The following is a 20275-nucleotide window of genomic DNA, read 5'->3' as shown; positions in this document are numbered from 1 at the left end:
TAAGCCACCATGCCCAGTCCAATTATCACTTTTAAAAAGGCATACCACGAGACCTTGACAGCTTACTTTGTTTTAGAATTTATGTATGGCAACTGTGAAAAATTGAAAATTTAATTCAGTGTCCATTGTCTAATCAAGTCTTACCAGTCAGGGTCCATGTGCAGGAAAGCAATTATTCCTGCTCATTTGAGCAGAAAGGGATTTACTACAGGGAATCGGAAGCTTATGCAATTAGGAAAATTAGAGAAGTGGGCCCTAGAAAGGACCCTTGGGAATGACTTTGAAAACCACAAAATTGTCCTGTCAAGGCAGATGCTACCTCTACTGCCATCAGAAGTGATGTGATGGTTAATTTTATGTATCAATTTGATTGGGCTATGGGATGCCCAGATAGCTGGTAAAGCATTGCTCCTGGATGTGTCTGTTGGTGTGTTTCTGGAAGAGATTGGCTTTTCAATGCAGATCGCTTTTTGCCAATGCAGAGGGGCAGCATCTAGTCCATCGAGAGCCTGACTAGAACAAAAGGGTGGAGGAGGGGTGAATTCTCTCTTCTTGAGCTGGAACATGTGTCTTCTTCTGGCTTCAGACATCAGAGCTCCTGGTTCTTGCTCCTTGGGACTCTGGGACTTACACCAGTGGCACCCCTGGCTCCAGCCCTTTGAACCTGGACTAAGTCATACCAGCAGCTTTCCTGGTCCTCCAGCTTGCAGGTGGCAAAACGTGGGACTTGCTGGCCTTTATAATCATGTAAGCCAATTTCCGAGATAACTCTCCTCTTCTGTGTCTCTATATATCCCGTTGGCTCTGTTTAGCTGGATAACTCTGACTACAGTGGACTCTGGAGGGGGAGCTCCACTGTCATGTGAAGAATACACTGCTGCAGCTGTGTCCAGGGTTAGGAGGTCACTCCTGCCTCTGCCACACCCACAAAGCCAGCGACCGGTTGTGTCAGTCAGGCAGGGCTGCTGTAACCAAACACTCCATCCAGACAGGGTGGCTTAAATGATGGGAATTTATCTCACAGCTCTGGGGGCTAGAAGTCCGAGATAAGTGTCAGCAGAACTGGCTCCTTCTAAGGCTGTGAGAGAGAATCTGTTCCAGGCCTCCTAGATTCTAGCGGCTTGCTGGCAATCTTTGGCCTTTCTTGGCTTGTAGATGTATCGCCCTGATATCTGCTTTCATCTTCTCATGGTGTTTTCCCTGTGTGTGCTGTTTCCAAAGGTACTCTTTTTATAAGTCATATTGGATTAGGGGCCCACCCTAATCCAGTCTGACCTCATATTAACTAATTACATCTGTGGCAACCCTGTTTCCAAATAAGGTCAAATTCTGAGGTGTTGAGGACTGGGAATTAAACATAGAAATTTGGGGAGGGGGGACATAGTTCAACCCTAAACATGTGTAAGGGACCACTGATGTGGACAAACCCATATAGGGGTGCTTGCCAGTAGCTACTGTGAAGAAGCAGGAAGGTAACCTCCCTCCAGAACCACTGGAAGTCTGGGAAATGTAGTTTTTAGCTTACAAGGCTCTGCAGTAATGAAGGTTGGAATGGATGCAGCACCAATCCACCAAACCCCTGACCTAAATCCAACATCCTCTGTCTGCCACCCAACCCTGGTCATTTTGCAGCTGGCAAAAATTCCTGCCACTGAGCACATGCACCTGGGGTATTAGAAACAACACTGTCCTCAGAAACCAGGAGGTGAGGACTGCGGGAGTCCCGGCCCTATTATTAACTCACAGGGTGACAGCCACAGCTAATCAAACCCACCTGACACAAAATCCCACCATCCACAATTCACTCAACAAACACAGCAGTGTTCACAGTCATTAACACACTCAGGAACCTTGTGCCACATGCTGGGAACTAACTTCGTAAATTTGTTCCACAAGGCTGTCCCACCCACCCAAATTTGTTTCTTTATTATTTCTTACAGAGATTAAAAAAAAAGATAATTGTCTTCTCCCAACCATGATCAACTTCCCGCCACTACCATTTTTCTTGTTTATGTCCAGAGTATTGTGTGCAATTGTGTGCATGCGCAGTCCAAACCCAGCATTCTTCCTGAATGATAGGTAAAGGATTTAGAAGGGAACTGAACCAGGAGGCCAAGCTTTTGGCCCAGTTGTGCCACTAACTTGCTGTGTGGCTGAGATCCCTGATGCCCCAGCTGTGAACAGGGTTGCTACTCTCTGCCCACCTGACAGCACCCGGGCAGGGCCCTGGAAAATGTTAGGGGAGTGATATGGTTTGGCTGCGTCCCCACACAAATCTCGTCTTGTAGCTCCCATAGTTCCCATGTGTTGTGGGAAGGACCTGGTGGGAGATAATTGAATCATGGGGCCAGGTCTTTCCCATGCTGTTCTCATGATAGCAAATGAGTCTCGCGAGATCTGATAGTTTTAAAAACGGGAGTTTCCCTAGACAAGCACTCTTCTCTCTTGCTGCTGCCACGTAAGAAGTGCCTTTCACCTTCTGCCATGATTGTGAGGCCTCCCCAGCCATGTGGAACTGTGAGTCCAATAACTTCTTTTTTGAGACAGAGTTTTGCTCTGTCACCCAGGCTGGAGTACAGTGGTGACATCTGGGCTGCAAACTCTGCCTCCCTGGTTCAAGAGATTCTCCTGCCTCAGCCTCCTGAGTAGCTGGGATTACAGGTGCCTGCCACCATGCCCAGCAAATTTTGTATTTTTAGTAGAGATGGGGTTTATCCATGTTGGCCATGCTGGTCTCGAACTCCTGACCTCAGATGATCTGCCCACCTCCACCTCCCAAAGTGCTGGGATTACAGGCGTGAGCCACTGGGCCCAGCCCCAATAACCTCTTTGTTTTGTAAACTGCCCAGTCTCGGGTATGTCTTTATCAGCAGTGTGAAAATGGACAAATACAGTAAAGAATTGTGCTGCCTGGGTCTGCCCTCCTCCATCACTAGCTCTGTAAGGGCTGTGTCTGTGTCTGCCGCTCTCTTTTCTCAAAAACGTATGAGTGTTTATTGTGTACAAAATGCTGTGCTCAGCACCATGGTGGCTAGGAAGGGAAATCAGACCCTTTCCGATACAGTTAAGGGGAAGTGTTAATTCACTGGAGTTTGGATCATTATCTTGCAAGATACAATCTCAAACATGATAATCCTGAATGTTAAAGTCCCAAAAGATTAAAATCCCTGAAGTCTAAATCTCTAATATCTAAAGTCCCTAAAATCACAATCATGGGATGGTTGCATTATGTTAGACAAAACTATTACCTTGTTGTTGTCTTTATTTGGAAATTAGATATGGTTTCTGGAGATGTGTCTTGGTGCCAAGTTGACAAGGGGTGGACTTATGGACTTAATTTTAGGTATCGACTTGACTGGATGAAGGGCTATCTAGAAACCTAATATAGCATTATGTCGGGTGTGTATGTGTGAGGGTGTTTCTAGAGGAGATCTGTGTGTGGGTCTGAGTGGAATAGGTAGGGAAGATCTGCCCTCAATGTTGGTGGGCATCATCTAATAGGCAGGGGGCCAGGAGAAAACAAATACAGAAGGCAAATGGTCTCTCTCTGAGAGCTGGGACAGACTTTTCTGCTGCTTTGAGCATCAGAACTCCAGGCTTGCCAGCTTTTGGACTCTAGGACTTACACCAGTGGCCCCTGGGTCCTGGGGCTTTCTGCCTGAGTCATGCTACCAGCCTCCCAGGGTCTCCAGCTTGTAGACGGCCTGTTGCAAGACTTCTCAGCCACTGTAATCATGTGAGTCAATCCGCCTAATAAATCTCTCATATATCTACATGCGCATCCAACGGGTTCTATCTCTCTAGAGAACGCTGACTAATACAGATTTGGTATTAGGGAAACAGAATAGCATTTCTTTTTATTGTGTTTCTTACAACACAATGGAAGGGATCTGTGAAATTGTTCCCTCGCAAAAAGGCCATGATAGTGAAGTGTATAAGGCTACTTAAGGTAAAAGATAAAAGTTTAAAAATGGGCCAGCCACGGTGGTTCACGCCTATAATCCTACCATTTTGGGAGGCCAAGGCGGGTGGATCACCTGAGGTCAGGAGTTTGAAACCAGCCTGGCCAACATGGCAAAACGCTGTCTCTACTAAAAATACAAAAATTAGCCGGGCCTGATGGCGGGCATCTATAATCCTGCTACTCGGGAGGCTGAGGTGGGAGAATCGCTTGAACCCAAGGGGTAGATGTTGCAGTGAGCAGAGATCGCACCACTTCACTCCAGCCTGAGTGAAAGAGCAAAACTCCATCTCAAAAGAAAAAAAAAGATTAAAAATGAGTTGTTATTGGTGCTGCAAAAGCAGAATATCACTTAATTGCAATGGCCGAGTAATAACCACTCAAATGTACAACATATACTTGCAGAATGTGTAGACCACAACCACTCTCCAAGTACAAGTGCAGAGAGTATTTCAAATATCAAAGAAGTGAAGACACAGGTGAAAAATACAAGAACCCTCTCCTGCCAAATTATTCAATTGTGTACAACTTCTGCCCCTTCCCATATAGCGCCATGCTTGCCTTAAAAAAACGCCCTTCGTCAGAGAATGAGAAGAGTTCGACCAGTTCAGCGACCTTCTGAACCAAAGGCACTTGCTGATATTGAGATGTCTTTTCCTCCAGTGTTACAAAACACATTACATGGTGAACTATTCTTACTTTTATTTTTATTTTTTTTGAGTCAGGGTTTCACTCTGTCGCCCAGGTTGGAGTGCAATGGTGCGATCATGGCACACTGCAGCCTCAACTTCCCAGGCTCAGGTGATCCTCCCGCCTCTGCCTTCCGGGACTATAGGCTGGAACTATAAGCGTACACCGCTGCGCCTGGCTATATTTTTTGTATTTTTTGTAGAGATGGGATTTCTCCATGTTGCCCAGGCTGGTCTCAAATTCCTGGACTCAAGCATTCCACCTGCCTCAGCCTCCTAAAGTGCTGAAATGACAGAGCCACTGCACCCAGCCGAGCTATTCTCAATAAGAGGTTTGACTGTCAAAGAAGATAGACTTCTTATATTAACTCTAAATCTAACAGAATACCTAGCACATGCTTCACTTTGGCCAATGAATGGCACTTTCAAAATGTCCTGACTGTTTTTTTAAAAAAGATCAACTATATACAATTCATGTCCCTGTTAGGTCTGAAATTTCTAGAATATATCTGCTTATGTGTATATTAATGACTGGAAAAAGTGAAGCACTTTATCAATGCTGATTTGAAGATTCAGTGGACTTTGCAAAAGAAAATGGATTTCAACTGAATCTTCAAACCATACTGACAGATTTGGAATTAGGTGTGATCAAGCTTCTAAAAGTGAATTTCAAGGTATTAGCAATGCAGTTTATTTTTTTTCATTCAGCCCACTGCATTTGGCAGAAAATTCAGATGAGTGGATTGGCCACAAGATATGGCAACAACGACAACTTCAGTTTAAAAATATGGGCCAGGTGTGGTGGGCCACCCAGGTGTGGTGGCCCAGTAATCCCAGTACTTGTAATCCCAGTACTCTGGGGAAGCCGAGGTGGGTGGATCACTTGAGGCCAGGAGTTCAAGACCAGCCTGGCCAACATGGTGAAACCCCATCTGTAGTAAAAATACAAAAATTAGCTGGGCATGGTGGCATGTACCTGTCGTCCCAGCTACTCAGGAGGCTGAGGTACGAGAATTGCTTGAACCTGGGAGGCAGAGGTTGCAGTGAGCCGAGATTGCACCATTGCACTCCAGCCTGGGCAACAGAGCGAGACTCCTCCTCAAAAGAATAACAATAAAAAATAATAAAAAAATAAAAATGCATCATTTGACTGCATTGGCATTCCTTCCAGTTGATGACATTTTAGGAGCGTTTCATGAATTAAAGTCGCATTTGCCTGAAGAAGCTAGTGAAATCACTGACCTGTTCAAAAGTAATTATGTGCACAGTAGGATAAGAAGACACTTACACAATGGTGTTGCTGTTCAATCACCAGCGTTATTTCTACCAAATCTGTGGTCTGTATATGAGTGGGTGTGGAATGAATTTCCGTGAGCCCAAGACACCATAAAAACATGGCACAGAAGATGGGAAAATTTGGAATATAAATAGTTCTACCATAAAGACACATGCATGTGTCATTGCAGTGTCATTGCAGCACTAGTCACAATAGCAAAGACATGGTATCAACCTAAATGCCCATCAATGGCAGACTGGATAAAGGAGATGTAGCACATATACACCATGGAATACTATGCAGCCATTAAAAAAAGAGAGAGATCATGTCCTTTGCAGCATCATGGATGGAAGCTGGAGGTCATTATCTTAAGTGAACTAATGCAGGAATAGAAAATCAAATACCACATGTTCTCACTTATAAGTGGGAGCTAAACACTGAGAACACATGGACACAAAGAAGGGAACACTAAATACTGGGGCCTGCCTGAGGGAGGAGCAAGAGGATAAAAAAATGTATCTATCAGGTATTACGTTTGTTACCTGGGTGATGAAATAATGTGCACACCAGACCCTTGTGACACAAAATTTACCTATATAACAAACCTGCACAGGTACCCTTAAACCTAAAATAAAAGTTAAAAAAAAGATGGGAACATTTAATAGGGAAGGTTCATGGCCATGTATATAGAATCACAGAAGAATTTCAGAAAGAGCAGTGCCACATAGGAAATGAGTGTGATGTATTCTCCAAGCAGAGCCATACGCTAAAAGAAAGAAAAAAACAGCTTTTCATTTTTATGCAAGACGTCAAAATATAGTGAATGATTGTGAAAGTTGGCCAGCTCTTATGGACTACCTCTGTGTAATTGCCCATAATCTATCCCTGTAATACAGTTTTCATATCATCTTCACATCATTTCCAATACTGGAATTATGTAAAGACTTTTAGAGAGTCCTAATTAGTTTCATGTGTTTTTGCAAATCTGACTCCACAGAAGTGCATTATCACAACGTGGACTTTGTAAGCATAATGCGTGTATGTAAAAGCATTGAAACTTCCTCAATAAATGAAGAGAAGTCCTTTTTGTACATGTGCATTTGTGAAAGATAAAATTTCTCAAGATCTCGGTTCTTTGGGTGACTGTATATGCAGTGGTGACCCATTGCAGTTTTTTATTGATCTTGTCAAAAGACTCAGATTGTCTGTCATGGTATTTCAGATGGCCGCAGTTAGAAAGCTGGGTGCACACAATTAACAACCATAGCGATATGCATTTGTAGATTTCCCTTTTTGACCTATTTCTTCATGAATATAGTTCATCTGCGCGTAACTGTTACACTCGTGCGACTGTCATTAGTGTACCTGAGTGTTTATGCTTGCAAAAATGTGTACGTTTTTATTGCCTATCTTACTGTGGCAAGTGACCTGTAAAGTGTCCTGACATGTTTTGATATGTCTCTCAATTAAACTCCCTTTAAATCTATAAATAAATGTCTTTTAACGAATTTTAAAATGATTTTTTCAGAATTCTATTTTCAGGATTTTGATTTTTCAGGATTTCAACATTCAGAGTTATGGCATTTGGTGTTGTGTCTTGCAGGATTATGATCAGTTCCCAATTCACTACATTCCTCAACACTCTTTTTCAGAGAAGAATGGAAACTCAACTCTTAGTGGCTTCAAAATAAAAGGGAGTTCATTGGCTCATGTGACTGAAAAGTCCACGGGTAGTTCAGCTTTAGGTATGGCTGGATCCAGGGGCTTAAATAATGTTCTCAGAATCTATGTCTGTCTGAGGATACATTGTGGAGGAAGGAAGAAAAAAAAGAAGGAAGGAAGGGAGGAAGAGAGGAAGAGAGGGAGGGAGTTAGGAAGAAGGTGTCCACTGCAAATATGCCCAAAAATAATTACACTATAAGGAAGACAGTGTTAAGTGATATGAGAGAGCTCAGTGAAACGAGGGTTTCGGAAGATGCAGGAATTAACGCACTCATGTATTTATTCATTTATTTATTCAGGTCTTAAACACTGAAGTTCTAGGCTTCACACTGAACTAGGCCTGGGGCTCTAGAGATGAAGACCAAGTCCTTGCTTTCAGGGAACGTCCACCCTCTGTTGGGGAAGGCAGGTAGGTAAAGAGCCAATTGCTAATTTGTACGGAGCCACAGGGATGCATAGGGCACACTGAAAGCTCATTTCCTACTGAGGGATCTGGGAAGCTTCTTGGAAGCGTGCACTGCGACCTGAAGAGTAAAAACGGCAGAGAAGGGCATTGAAGCAAAGGGAACAGCATAAGTCAAAGCCCAGAGGCTGGATTCAGAGCCACTCAGAGGATGACTTTCTGGGTGACATTGGGTGGGTGATTGGGCCTCAGTTTTTCTATTTGTACAATAAACGGGTTAGGTAACTTGCTGCTGAGGAAGGAAAGGGGAAAACAATCTCACACACGCAGACACACATGCGCACACACACGCACACACACGCCCACACACACGCAGACATGCACACACGCAGCACACACACGCACACACACACGCACGCGCGCACACACACGCACACACGCACGCACACACGCACGTACACACACATGCACACACACGTACACAGATGCAGAGACTGTGGTTGTTTCAGCCTTAGAGGGTAAGACATGACTCACTTCTAGATGACGTTATTGACTCAAAGGTAAGGCCTCTTGGGCCCAGCCTCCAGAGGGAGAGAAAGAGAGAGAATGAAATGATCCACAGCATACAGTAACAGCAATTTATGTTTTCATTTAAAAATAGTATTTATTGTTTGAATAGATAATATCTATACATTGTCACCATCACAGAGGTACAAAGGGTGTTCTGTGAAGAGTAACTTCCCTTCTAACCCCACTCCCTTATCAACCCATTCCCCTCCCCAGAGAAAATCACTCTAAATTTTTATATAGACTTCCAGAGAGTCTATGCAAATGCAAGCACATACACTTACAAGTATACATATGTACAGTCCCTGCATTTTTGGGGTACAGATTGGGGTGTACTATTCACATTCTTATGCACCTTACTTCATTTACTTAATAACAGCTATTGGCTATTGGAGTGTATCATTCTACAGCGGGCTGCCTCATTCTTTGAATGGTTGGATAGGGTTCCACTGCACGGAAGTGCCATAAGTCATGCAACCCATCCTATAAGGATGAGCACTTTGAGGATGCTATTGTACTAACAGATTCCTTTAACACAAATACAAGATAGAAATTAGAAAAGATAGAAGTAAAAGTCCTTTGTGATTACAAACAATGCTGCAAAGCCTGTCCTGGTCTTTGTGTCATTTCCACATGGGGCTGCCTCTGTTGGACAAAGGCGTAGAAGAGCGATTGTTGGATCAAAGTCCTTGTGCATTTGTGATTCTCATAGATATTACTCTATCCCGTTACCCACCTCCCTCATGGAGGTTGTAACCATTGTGTACTCCCACTTGCAATGTACAAGAGGCCTGTGTCACAGAAATTTTGAGTTTCTCCAGGCAGCCTGGGAGAGAGAGTAAGGGGATGAGAAGCTGGGGAAGAGGGCAGGGCATGGGGAGAAAGGAGGACATCCTTTGAAGGAGGAGGCCTGGGAACTGTAGGAGGCTGAGGACTAATGTGAGACAAGGCCGATGAGAAGTTCCTGGGGTCACGACAGTGACCTTTAGGCTTGCAGAGCTTATAGCCAATGGTGAAGTCATGCACACCAGTCAGTCACCCTCCTCTATTGCACACCGGCCAGTCGCCGTCCTCCATTGCACACAGTTCAATCACCCTCCTCCACTGACAGCTCAGTGACGGGCCTGCCATGCTTCCAGAATTGCATTCCCAGGAATGACACTTGAGAGATGAAGGAGAGGTGCTTAGGGGGCCCAGTGGTTGGAGGAATGGGTAGTAGCCTCAGAGACAGGAGCCCAAATCAGGAGCCAGCACTGTGAAACAGCAGGCTGTGCCAAGGACTAATTTAGGAGAAACTTAAGCCCCCTAAAACTCTAAAATTGGGAAGAATTCCCTGCATTCTCTGATTGTGTGGGTTGGGAACTGAAGCCATTTTATCCTGGTGTTAAAGGAAAGAGACTTTGTGCCTGGGGCAGGCAGTCACTTGGTGACACCCCCGTGGCTGAGGTTCTCCATGCCTCTAAGCCTGGGTGTCTTTCTCCCTGCTCTTCCCAGTCCCGACAGGCTGGGACCATCCCACCCAGAGTTAAGAGGCTTTGTGTTCAAAATCCTGGTCCAACGCTGGGCGCAGTGGCTCACGTCTGTAATCCCAGCAGTTTGGGAGGCCAAGACGAGCAGATCACCTGAGGTCAGGAGTTCAAGACCAGTCTGGCCAACATGGTAAAATCCCATCTCTACAAAAATACAAAAATTAGCTGGGGATGATGGCAGGTGCCTGTAATCCCAGCTACTCAGGAGGCTGAGGTGGGAGGCTTGAACCTGGGAGGTGGAGATTGCAGTGAGCTGAGATAGCGCCATTGTACTCCAGCCTGGGTGACAGAATCAGGTTCTCTCAAAACAAAACAAAACACAAAGGAAAAACTCCCCACAAAAAACCAAAATCCTGGTCCAGGGGTCCCAACCCTTTTTGACCATAAACTCCTAACAATAAATAACAGTTTATTAAAAAAATTTTAATTTAAAGTTATTTTTAAAAATAAATATTTATTTATAAATTCTATAAAGAGCTATTATACTAATATGTTCCTTTAACACAAATAAAAAATAGAAATGAGAAAAGACAGAGGTAAAAATAGAAGACCTGATAGTCTTCCTAAGCCTCAAATGACACCCTACTTTGGAAATCACTTACCTAGCTTTAAGCGTTTTCAGAGCTGGGTTGGCGAAGGGACTTGGAGGGCCTTGTGTATCTCTGTGTGTGTGTGTGTGTGTGTGTGTGTGTGTGTGTGTGTGTGTGCTAACTCAGGGATGGAGGTGCTGTGAGATTTGGAAAACTTGGGACATGATGAGGGTTTGGGGGGGTTTCCTTAAGTGGTGGGGGCCCAGGCTGAGCTTGCAACAGAGCCCTGAATGAGGAGGGGGGTGTCACTACGTGGTAGCTGGGCTGGACCTTAAGCATCTGGGCGTGGGAGAGTCTTCACAAGACCCTTGTATCCCAGATTGGCTGCATGAGACTGGGAGCCTTTCATCTTCATAATGATCCCATTCTGTCCCCGACCAGTCCCCACCTGTTGCCTCCTTAGATCATGAGCTTAACTATAGTGACGGACAAAGAGATGGAGCCAGGCCCCTGACCCATCTTTCCCCAGGGACAGGGAGGGGGGGGGTCACTAATACCAGTAATAGCAGGGGAATTCAATTTGACATGGATGACTAGAGTAACATGATAATTATTTCACCTGCCTCCTGTAGAACAAATTCATATTCACCACCCATGTATGAAAGGGTTATGGCACCAGAGACGTTATTAGAAATGATTTCCAACTGGGAGCAACTCGGTTAGTGGGACTAGGGAAAATTAAATATCCCCTTCCAGGCCTTGGCTGAAGTTGACTCTGTTTGTCCTCGTCTCCCCTCCCTGCCTTGAGGCCCCAACCCCTGCCCATGTCTCCCGGTCTGATACTCCTCAGCCATGCTCAGGGCTGCAGGCTGACTCCAAGCCTTCGTAAACCACCCAGGACCGTTAAACAAATCCTATAATTAGAAGCCAGGTTGCATTAACGAAGTGAAAAATGTAACATTACCATCTGTTTGTTCACTGGATGCTCAGCTCATGTCCCATGATCCAGAGGATTTGTGACCTTGGGTTTCTAAGAAGCCTTAATAAGGTAATGTTTATAGGACTCTTAACTTTACAGCTCTGCTGGAGTACAACTCTGTGAAATGAGGACAAGCTATAATTCCAGGAGATCCCCTCCTCCCCATCCCAGTGCTGAAGAATGTTGTCCCCTTATGTAGTACATGGAAAGCCCCATGACTGGGATTAAAGGAAGTAGATTCTGGTCCCAACTCTGACACTGAATTGCTGTGTGACACTCTATCAGTCTCTTTTCCTCTCTGGACTTCTGTTTTCCCATCTGTAAAAGAGAGGAGATGATGGCTCTTGTTCCAAAAGTCCCCTCCAATTCTGACATTCCAGTTTGATTTCTCTGTCTCTCTGCCATTGAGTTTTATATCAAGCAAAGTTTCTTTTCCAAATTTGATCTTCCTTCTTTGGACTTCTCACAAAGACTTGGTAATGAAAGTTGAACTGGATAAATCTAGTTTGGGGTTAGCAAGACACATAGACCTTTTTCTGCCTCAGCTTTGAATCTCTCTGATGGGATAAAAATGCATCAAAAATAATATGACATTGACAATTAATTAGGAAGAGACAATTCCTTAACTCTTCAAAGAAATTAAACTGGTTAAAGCAAGGAACAGTGGAAAGAACCAGGGTTGTTCTCTCTGGAGATGGTAGCCACAATTAAGTGAACAGAATATTCTGCCAACTTCCTATCAGCCGACATTTACTGAGTTCTTCCTGTGAACTAGACTTTACGTTATGGCCTTACACCCATCCTCTCAGCCTCATAGCAAACCTGTGAAGTCAGTACTTTCTCATTGTCCTCATTTAACAGATGAGGAACTGACAATTAAGGAGATGAATTTGCTCAAAGGAAATATGTGGCTGGGGCAGAGACTCCAGAACCTGATTTTTGACCTCTGCAGATCTGTTGTCTACAGACCTCTGACTCTGTTTTTGTACTTGTGGAAGCAAGTGTTGTGATGAAGTTTCCATCACCATGTCTCTGCATGATTCTGATAAGCGCAGCATGCCCTGCTAGCCTGCACAGGCTATGTAGCATAGGGATAAGGACACTTTTGCTGGGTCGAGCCTCTTAGATTTGGGGGTTGCTTGTTACTGCAGTGCAACTTGGCCTATACTGACCGATACTGCTTGCCTTGGGGCTGAGGGAACAGTTTTGCTCTGTATATTCGCAAAGAGTCAGTTTGCAGTCAGCAGATGGAAGAAGCAGGGAGACAGACATTTAAAACGCTAATAAAAGGCTGGGGAGCATATACAATAGTATCACTGAGAAGCCAGCACAATGATCCTGATGATCCTGTTGAGCTTGAGTCTAAGAAATTGACTAAAAAATGAGAAGATTTGTAGGTGATTCTGGAATGCCAGGGTCAGAGCTAGCTCTGTGGTTGAGATAATGGGATAGAATACAAGGGAATCCCAATATGGAAGACAAGAATTTATGAACATAGCCATGTGATGGCCAGACTGAAGGGCCAAACAATCCTAGGTTTTTCTAAGAGCACACTGCTGGGGAGAGAAAGATCAGGGTCAGCCTGACCCCTGAATTCTCTCCAGAGCTGACTCAGAAAACTTATCCCTCTGGCATGGAGCCCTCTCACCAGACACATTTCTCTCCAATGTAGATTTGTCCATAAAGCACAGCTGACCATGGCAGAAATAACTTGGATATCCTTCGGTGCTCTGTGTCTGCTGCCTAATGACAGGCACCCACCTCTAACTGCTGCTGGTTCCAGTGCTCATTCACTTTCCCTAAGCTGGGGCAAAGGTTAGGGTAGCTGATGGTTAAAGGGACCTCAGGGGCCCAACTTACATCCCAAGCTCTGTCCCTTTTCTCCTCACTGTATGGCCTCAATTTCTTCTTCTGTAAAATACTTACATTCACGTGTTGATCCAGCAAGTAAATAAAAGTCATGGATGTAAAAGTGTTCTTTTTCTTTCCTTTTTTTTTTTTTTTTTTTTTGAGACAGGGGCATGCTTTGTCACCCAGGCTGGAGTGCTGTGGTGTGATCTCGGCTCACTGCAGCCTTGACCTATTGGGATCAAGTGATCCTCTCGCCTCTCAGCCTCCTGAGTAGCTGGGACTACAGATGCATGCCACCACGCCTGGCTAATTTTTAAATTATTTTTTTGTAGAGACGAGGATCTCGCTATGTTGCCAGAACTCATCTTGAACTCCTGACCTCAAGCAATTCTCCTGCCTCGGCCTCTCAAAGTGTTGAAATGACAGGCATAAGCCACGGCGCCTGAGCTAAAAGTGTTTTTCAAATTGTAGAGTGCTTCAGGGGTAACCCTTTTACCATCACGCAATTGTCATCAGCATCTGCGTGGGTCCTTGGCTGGACACCTTCCATCTCCCACAGCCATAAACCTTGAAGCTGCCTTCTCACATTAGAGCAATTACCGAGGCTTCTTTCCTGGGAACCAGACTTTGGAAATGGTCAGATTCCACACTAGCCATTTCTTCCTCTTTCCTCACAGTATTTATGAGAACTGACCTTCCAATGGAAATTTGGCAAGATTTCACATTCTGGAGACATTGTACCTTCCTCCACATGCCCCGAGGGCTGAGGTCATGGGCTTCCCAGAAGATCCAGCAGTTCCCATGCATGCAGGAGGTGCACAGGACTGAGAGGAGAGGGGCCCAGCAAGAGCCCCTGAGCTGTGGGCTGGTCCTAAAATATCGATACTGTTAGATTCCTCATCCTGCATTAGAACATAAGCTCAGGAATAGGCCACGCACAGTGGCTCATGTCTGTAATCCCAGCACTTTGGGACGCTGAGGCGGGTAGATCACTTGAGTTCAGGAGTTCAAGACCAGCCTGGCCAACATGATGAAACCCTATCTGTACTAAAAATTCAAAAATTAGCCAGGCATAGTGGTGCATGCCTGTAACCTCAGCTACTTGGGAGGCTGAGGCATGAGAATCGCTTGAACCCGGGAGGCAGAGGTTGCAGTGAGCCAAGATTGCACCACCGTGCACTCCAGCCTGGTGACACAAGAACTATTTTAGTTGTTCACCACTATATCCCCAGTGCCTGGCACATAGTAGGTGTTCAATATATATTTGTGAAATGAATTGGAATGAACCCTCCTCAATAACTCTCAAAGGTCCTTCATCGTCCATAGGCTAATTCCTTGAAGGTCACAGCTCCTAGAAACTTATAGAACATCCTAGGCAAGATATTTAAACCTCCACCAGAAGCAGCTTGTCAACATTGCCTCCTAACAGTTCAGGCCACAGAGATAAGCTCCTGCAGGGAGTCCAGGGGGAGATTCACGCCTGTGAGTTTTCTAGGGGTCAGGAGGATGAGGATAGAGGCCTTGGCTACGGCCATCAAGGGTGATGTGATGTGTGTCAGAGTTGCTGCCTGTGCTCTAAGTGTTGTGTTGTGCACAGCTCTCAGGACGTTCCTCTGCTAATCCTGCCCTAATCGCAAGCCAGCCCCAAGCTCCCTGAGCCAGGTGCTGAGAGCCGCATCTGTGAGTAAGACATGCTTGCTGTCTGTGAACAGCTCCTACCTGATGGCTCTTAAAACAATAACAAAACACACACATACAAGACACCACCCACAAATTTGCACTCACACAATACACCAAAACAACCACAATAAAAACAGCACTCTCTGACCCAACAACAGAGGCCAATATGCAAGGCAGACTTTGATAAGTACCATCGGTTTGTAGCTTAATGTTCGGGGTGCAGGCCTTTGAACCCAACCTGCAAAAGAAGTCCTTTCTGCCCCACCCATGAGCCCCTGCCACCCATGAGCCCCCAGGACTCCTCTCCCTACGCAGCTGCTGGGAGATGTTGACGTTTTCTTCTCACGTCCCCACAGATGTGGCCTCTTCCTCTGCCAGGAGCGGCTCTGGGGGGCTGAAGAGGACTTTTTTTGTTCTGTACCCGTTTCCTGCTTCTGCTGAGGGCAGGGTTGGGGCCTTCCACCCAAAACAGACCCAGACCCACCCAGCCAGAGGAGACGCTGACAGCTTTGGGGGAAAAGTCAGAATTCCAGATCTTGTGAATCCAGACGTCCTGTAAACTCTGAGCAGAGGATAAACATCCCCCGGGACTGAGGGGAGGACACTCCAGTGGGCAGGGGGCCTGGCGCCTCTGTCTGCCCTGGAGACAGGCTGTTTATTCCACGTCCCCCACAGGCTCTCTCGCACTCCTTCCTGTCCCAGGTCTGGGTGAGTTACAGCAGGCCTGACAGCCCCACATGGGGGCCTGAGGCCTTGGACATCAGATCTGGACCTCTCAAGGCTAGAAGGGAACTTTAAAAGCTCAAAAACTGGCCGCGTACGGTGGCTCACGCCTGTAATGCCAGCACTTTGGGAGGCTGAGGCGGATCATGAGGTCAGGATTTTTTTTTGTTTTTTCTGAGATGGAGTTTCATTCTTGTTGCCCAGGCTAGAGTGCAATGGCACGATCTTGGCTCACTGCAACCTCTGCCTCCCAGGTTCAAGCGATTCTCCTGCCTCAGCCTCCTGAGTAGCTGGGATTACAGGCATGCGCCACCACGTCCGGCTAATTTTGTATTTTTAGTAGAGACGGAGTTTCTCCATGTTGGTCAGGCTGGTGTCGAACTCTAGGTCAGGAATTTAAGACCAGCCTGTCCAACATGGTGAAACCCTGTTTCTAATAAAAATACAAAAATTAGCTGGGCATGGTGGCGCATGCCTGTAATCCTAGCTACTTGGGAGGTTAAGGCAGGAGAATTGCTTAACAGGGACCTGGGAGGCGGAGGCTGCAGTGAGCTGAGATCATGCCACTGCACTCCAGCCTGGGCTACAGAGCGAGACTCCATCTCAAAAAAAAAAAAAAAAAGCTCAACAACCCCTCCACCCCACAACACACACCTGGGCCACTCCTTCCTCTTCTAGAATCTCCTGGCTAGTGTTCTGCTCTCTGCTGATAGAGAGATCACTCTTTTCCAGGGCAGTCCATTTTATTTCTGGGACTCTCTGGCAGTTAGAAAGTGCTAGAATTGAGCTGACTAGAATTGCTCTGTGCCACCTGATTGGGAAGAACTAAGGACAATGCATACAACAAAATAATAGCAGGGCCATTCCCTGTGCCAGGCACTTGCCACATATAATCTTGTTAACCCCCCACCTCTCTTTCAAGGACATAGGCTCAGGGAGGTTAGGTCACTTGCCCAAGGTGACTTAGCTGCTACATAGCAGGGATGAGGTTCAGAGCACTCTGGTTCATCGTCTGTGCTTTAAATATTAATCTATACTGGCTCTTCATAATCAAAAAGCAAAAATAGCACATACACCCACAAACACACTATACATCAAAATCAGGCACATATAAAACCAAACCAAATTACAAAATATCAGCCCGAACTTGCCAAATATTAAGTACCATTATGTGCCAGGCAAACAATAATTTTAATGATTAATGCATTTTAACAACCCCGTGAGGAAACGGAGGCCCACTGAAGTGAGGGGGGTGGACATGACCATATAATAAGGGGCAGGGCAAATGTCCAACCACCATTGCCTGAAGTCTGCCGTGCTTTCCCCACAGGAGGAGGGCTTCTGCAAAATAAAAAAGAAAGCTTTTATAATTATAATTATTTTCAACAACCAGAGTTTTAAAAAATGGACTGTGCATCCTCAGAGAGAAATGATATTCCTAGAGAGATGATACCCAGCAAAGGCACTTAGAAAGCGTTCCCGCTTTGCTAAGGGCTGGATGAGGTATCCCCTACCTCTGATGGCCTGTGGGTGGTGAGTGCTAACAAGAGACTTGGTACAGTGTAGAGTCAATTTGCAACCCAGAAACACAAACTTGGTGTTTTCAAGTCTGGATGCTCTGCAGAAGAGAGGCCTAGGCGACCCAGTCTCCAGTGAACAAGACCACCTCTTGGAGTCCTACCCCAACTCACATTTCTTTGACTTCCCCCTGTGGGGAGGAGACGCTGGCACCTGGCCTGGGCAGAGGGTCATGTCGACGTGGCAGCCCCTCTGCACACCCCAGAGGCCGCCCATTCACCCAGGCCTTTCCCTTTTTTGAGAACTGGGAGCTTGCTGGCTGGGGCTGTTCCCACCAACAATGTTCCCGTCCAGGGATCTTAAAATAGCACCTCTTGGCTGGGGCTCTGGAGTGAGCAGCGAGGCAAGCATTTGTGCAAATATGGGCCTGGGAGAAGGACTCCTACCAGGGAGGGAGGGGAGGGCAGCATGGCAGGAGAGCCAGGACCTCCCTAGGGGGCTGCACCCTCCTGGTCGCAGCCAGCAAAGGCGCCGACTAGCCTCTTCCCGCCTTCCCTGACCTTACTGGGTCCACTTGGGCAAGTTCTTAGACCAAATCCTTCAGGTCCCCCTGGCCTTGCCAACGCTCTAGGGTGGGCCCGCTGGAAATAGGCACCTTTGCATTCTTCTGCTGGTTCTAGCCTTGTCCCCACTTCGTAATGCCCTTCCTACCCAGGAACGTACTAGAAGCATTCTTGAAGGCCCAACTCAAAACTCATTTTAACTGTAGGAATGACAGTTGCAGCTACCATTAATGGGGTACTTACTTTTGCCAGGGACTGTGCTAAGCGCTTTAACGTGCATTATCTCATTTGATCCTCACAACAATCCACTGAGAGCCAAGTTATTATTATCTTCACTTTGCAGAAGAAACTAAGGCTCAGAGAAGTCAATTAACATTCCCAAGATGACACAGCAGTGAAGGGGCAGGGGCAGGGCTGAAACTCAGGCCAGCCCATCTGTGGAGGCTGACCTCTGCCCTCCCGGCTGCACTTCCTTCTCCAGGTCCCTCTGCTCTGGCCTCCTCCTCTGTCCCAGCATGGCCTCCCTGTATTATAGTCAGTTTGATTCAATGTATCAATATTTTAGTTCACATACCAGGAATGCTGTTGGGTGCCCCACGAGCACCCTGGGAGCTCTCGGATCCCCTTGATGACTTGGGCTTGGGCGTGGGTTTAGTGAGCACCCGAACCTACCGGGTTCAGGTTGTTTGAGGCCATGGGTCAAGGCTGAGGCCATCACAGACCGTGCTCAATGACCAGCTGACCAACTGGACATTCCCCCTCCACCCCTGGCTGCCGCCCCTCTCCTTACTCCACCGCAGGGAGCAGTGTGTGCAGGAGTCAGACAAACTTGCTGTGAATCTTCTGTGACTTTGGGCAAGTGGTTAACCACGCTGAGCCTCAGTTTCCCCATCTGTAATTCAGAATAAAACTAGGACCTCACCCAGTGTTATTTGGAGGATTTCATGAAGCATTTAGCTTATGGCCTGGCAGTCAGTAAGTGGATATTAAGTAGCAGCTATTATTGTTACTGTTATTTTCTGTGAATTAAGGTGTCCAGGTGCCAAATGCCTGAGGCCTGGCACACAGCAGGTGCTCAAAGTAAAGGCAATCACTCACTCAGCAGACAGAAGCCCTCACCCGACCCCTGGAATCGGTGACCCCGACACCTGGAATCGGTGACCCCGACACCGCCTGTGTCATTCCTGGCCGGCTCTGATGTCTCCTAGGCTCTGGTCCTCATCAACAATAGGGTCACTCTGGAAGCCAGGCACAGGCGCAGGGCCCCACCCACTCGCCCCATCCCCTCATTCTCAGTCCCGGGCCGCTCTTGGAGAAAGAGGTGGCAGAGTGCAAGTTCCCTCAGGGTCAGTACATTTTTCAGGGTTGGCTGGCTTTCTAGTGGCGCCATCTGCTGGTGAGTGCAGCACTGCTCCTGGCGGGGCCTGCTGCAGAGGGCTCTGAGCGAGACCGCGGCCACCCACTGCCCCTTCCCCTGTAGCTCATCTGCCCAGTCCTTCATTCACGCATGCTGACCACCCTCTGCGTGTTAAGACCCAAGGACCCCAGCCTCACTCGTGGGGTGGGAGCCCTGGAAGCCCAGTTCCTGCACCTCCCTCTCAGGCCTGGCACTGAGTCCTGGGGCTGGGTCCCACAGGCCTGCCTGGGTTCACACTCAGGACATCAAAAAGGACAGATGACCCTCCAGGGGTTTCTAGAAACCAAGACTGGAAGAAGGGGTCTCCCTCCTGGTCTGAGATGGTCCAGGAATGGGAAACCCAATGACTGTTGCTGGGCCCATGCCTGACTCCTCACAGCACCTGCCAGGGGACCCCAAAGCTCCCCTCCCCACTGTGAAGGATCTGGGGCCCCCACAAGGACTGGCCTGCCTCTTTGGTCTCCACCAGACCAGCAAGGAGGCCCAGCCTGGCCCAGAGCTGTTTGTATAAAGTCTGAGGGAAGAACAATGAATGACTTAGGAGACGGAGTTCTGCTCCCAGCTCTGGCACAAACGCACTGTGTGAGCTGGGGTAGGACCCTCCCTTATCCAAGTCTCCTTGTAGTAAAATGGGTGGGAGGAGGGGGCCAGATGATGGGTGAGGACCCGTGTAGCTCCCAAACTGGCCTCGTGCTAAGATGCAGATTTTTGCGCTGCTACTTCAGCATCTCTGGGGCTGGGACCCTGAAATCTAAAGTAGCAAGCACTGCAGCTGGAGCAGGGGAAGCTGACAAGTCAGTCCTGGCTTGGGGAGGCAGAAGTGAGGGGTGCGTATTTCCAGCAGGTAAGGAGAATGTGTTGGTTTCA

General features: G+C 46.9%; 1 protein-coding gene and 1 long non-coding RNA gene across 6 annotated transcripts in view, besides 3 other annotated features; one reads left to right on the top strand and one right to left on the bottom strand.

Annotated features, from left to right (window-relative positions):
- Positions 1 to 20275, top strand: part of IL17B (interleukin 17B) — a 29936-nt gene that overhangs the window by 2761 nt on the left and 6900 nt on the right. Inside the window, exons 2-3 of one of the 4 annotated variants that reach the window (XM_017009347.2) lie at positions 587 to 747; positions 7948 to 8057. The exons of 1 other annotated variant lie outside the window; for it this stretch is intronic. The gene's annotated coding sequence lies outside the window, so the exon portion shown is untranslated. Of the gene's footprint in view, positions 1 to 586; positions 748 to 7947; positions 8058 to 19950; positions 20253 to 20275 lie in introns of those variants that run through there. 2 more of the 4 variants (XM_017009348.2, XM_047417104.1) reach the window with 2 other exon arrangements.
- Positions 1506 to 1675: an enhancer, noted in NCBI's record as "experimental_82075 CRE fragment used in MPRA reporter constructs". NCBI's record gives its function as "activates a minimal promoter by MPRAs in K562 erythroleukemia cells, with activity observed for both the introgressed and non-introgressed 5:148779415 variant alleles {active_cell/tissue: K562}" and the evidence as "EXISTENCE:reporter gene assay evidence [ECO:0000049][PMID:34662402]".
- Positions 15779 to 16279: an enhancer, noted in NCBI's record as "H3K4me1 hESC enhancer chr5:148764726-148765226 (GRCh37/hg19 assembly coordinates)". NCBI's record gives its function as "activates a minimal SCP1, AML or CMV promoter by ChIP-STARR-seq in primed H9 embryonic stem cells {active_cell/tissue: H9 hESC(primed)}" and the evidence as "EXISTENCE:reporter gene assay evidence [ECO:0000049][PMID:30033119]".
- Positions 17083 to 19206, bottom strand: LOC101927046 (uncharacterized). Of its 2 annotated transcripts, none has more exons than XR_245875.4 (2): positions 19090 to 19206; positions 17083 to 17251 (listed from the first exon to the last, which is right to left on the bottom strand). It is a non-coding gene; the product is annotated as an uncharacterized LOC101927046 (long non-coding RNA). The 2 variants fall into 2 exon arrangements; XR_944402.3 differs by lacking the exon at positions 19090 to 19206 and adding an exon at positions 18235 to 19077.
- Positions 18165 to 18876: an enhancer, noted in NCBI's record as "H3K4me1 hESC enhancer chr5:148762129-148762840 (GRCh37/hg19 assembly coordinates)". NCBI's record gives its function as "activates a minimal SCP1, AML or CMV promoter by ChIP-STARR-seq in primed H9 embryonic stem cells {active_cell/tissue: H9 hESC(primed)}" and the evidence as "EXISTENCE:reporter gene assay evidence [ECO:0000049][PMID:30033119]".

The sequence above is a fragment of the Homo sapiens genome, chromosome 5 (assembly GCF_000001405.40).
Source record: "Homo sapiens chromosome 5, GRCh38.p14 Primary Assembly".
NCBI classification, from domain to species: domain Eukaryota; kingdom Metazoa; phylum Chordata; class Mammalia; order Primates; family Hominidae; genus Homo; species Homo sapiens.
Note: the sequence above shows the minus strand (reverse complement) of the source record. Positions and strands in the feature narration are given on the sequence as shown.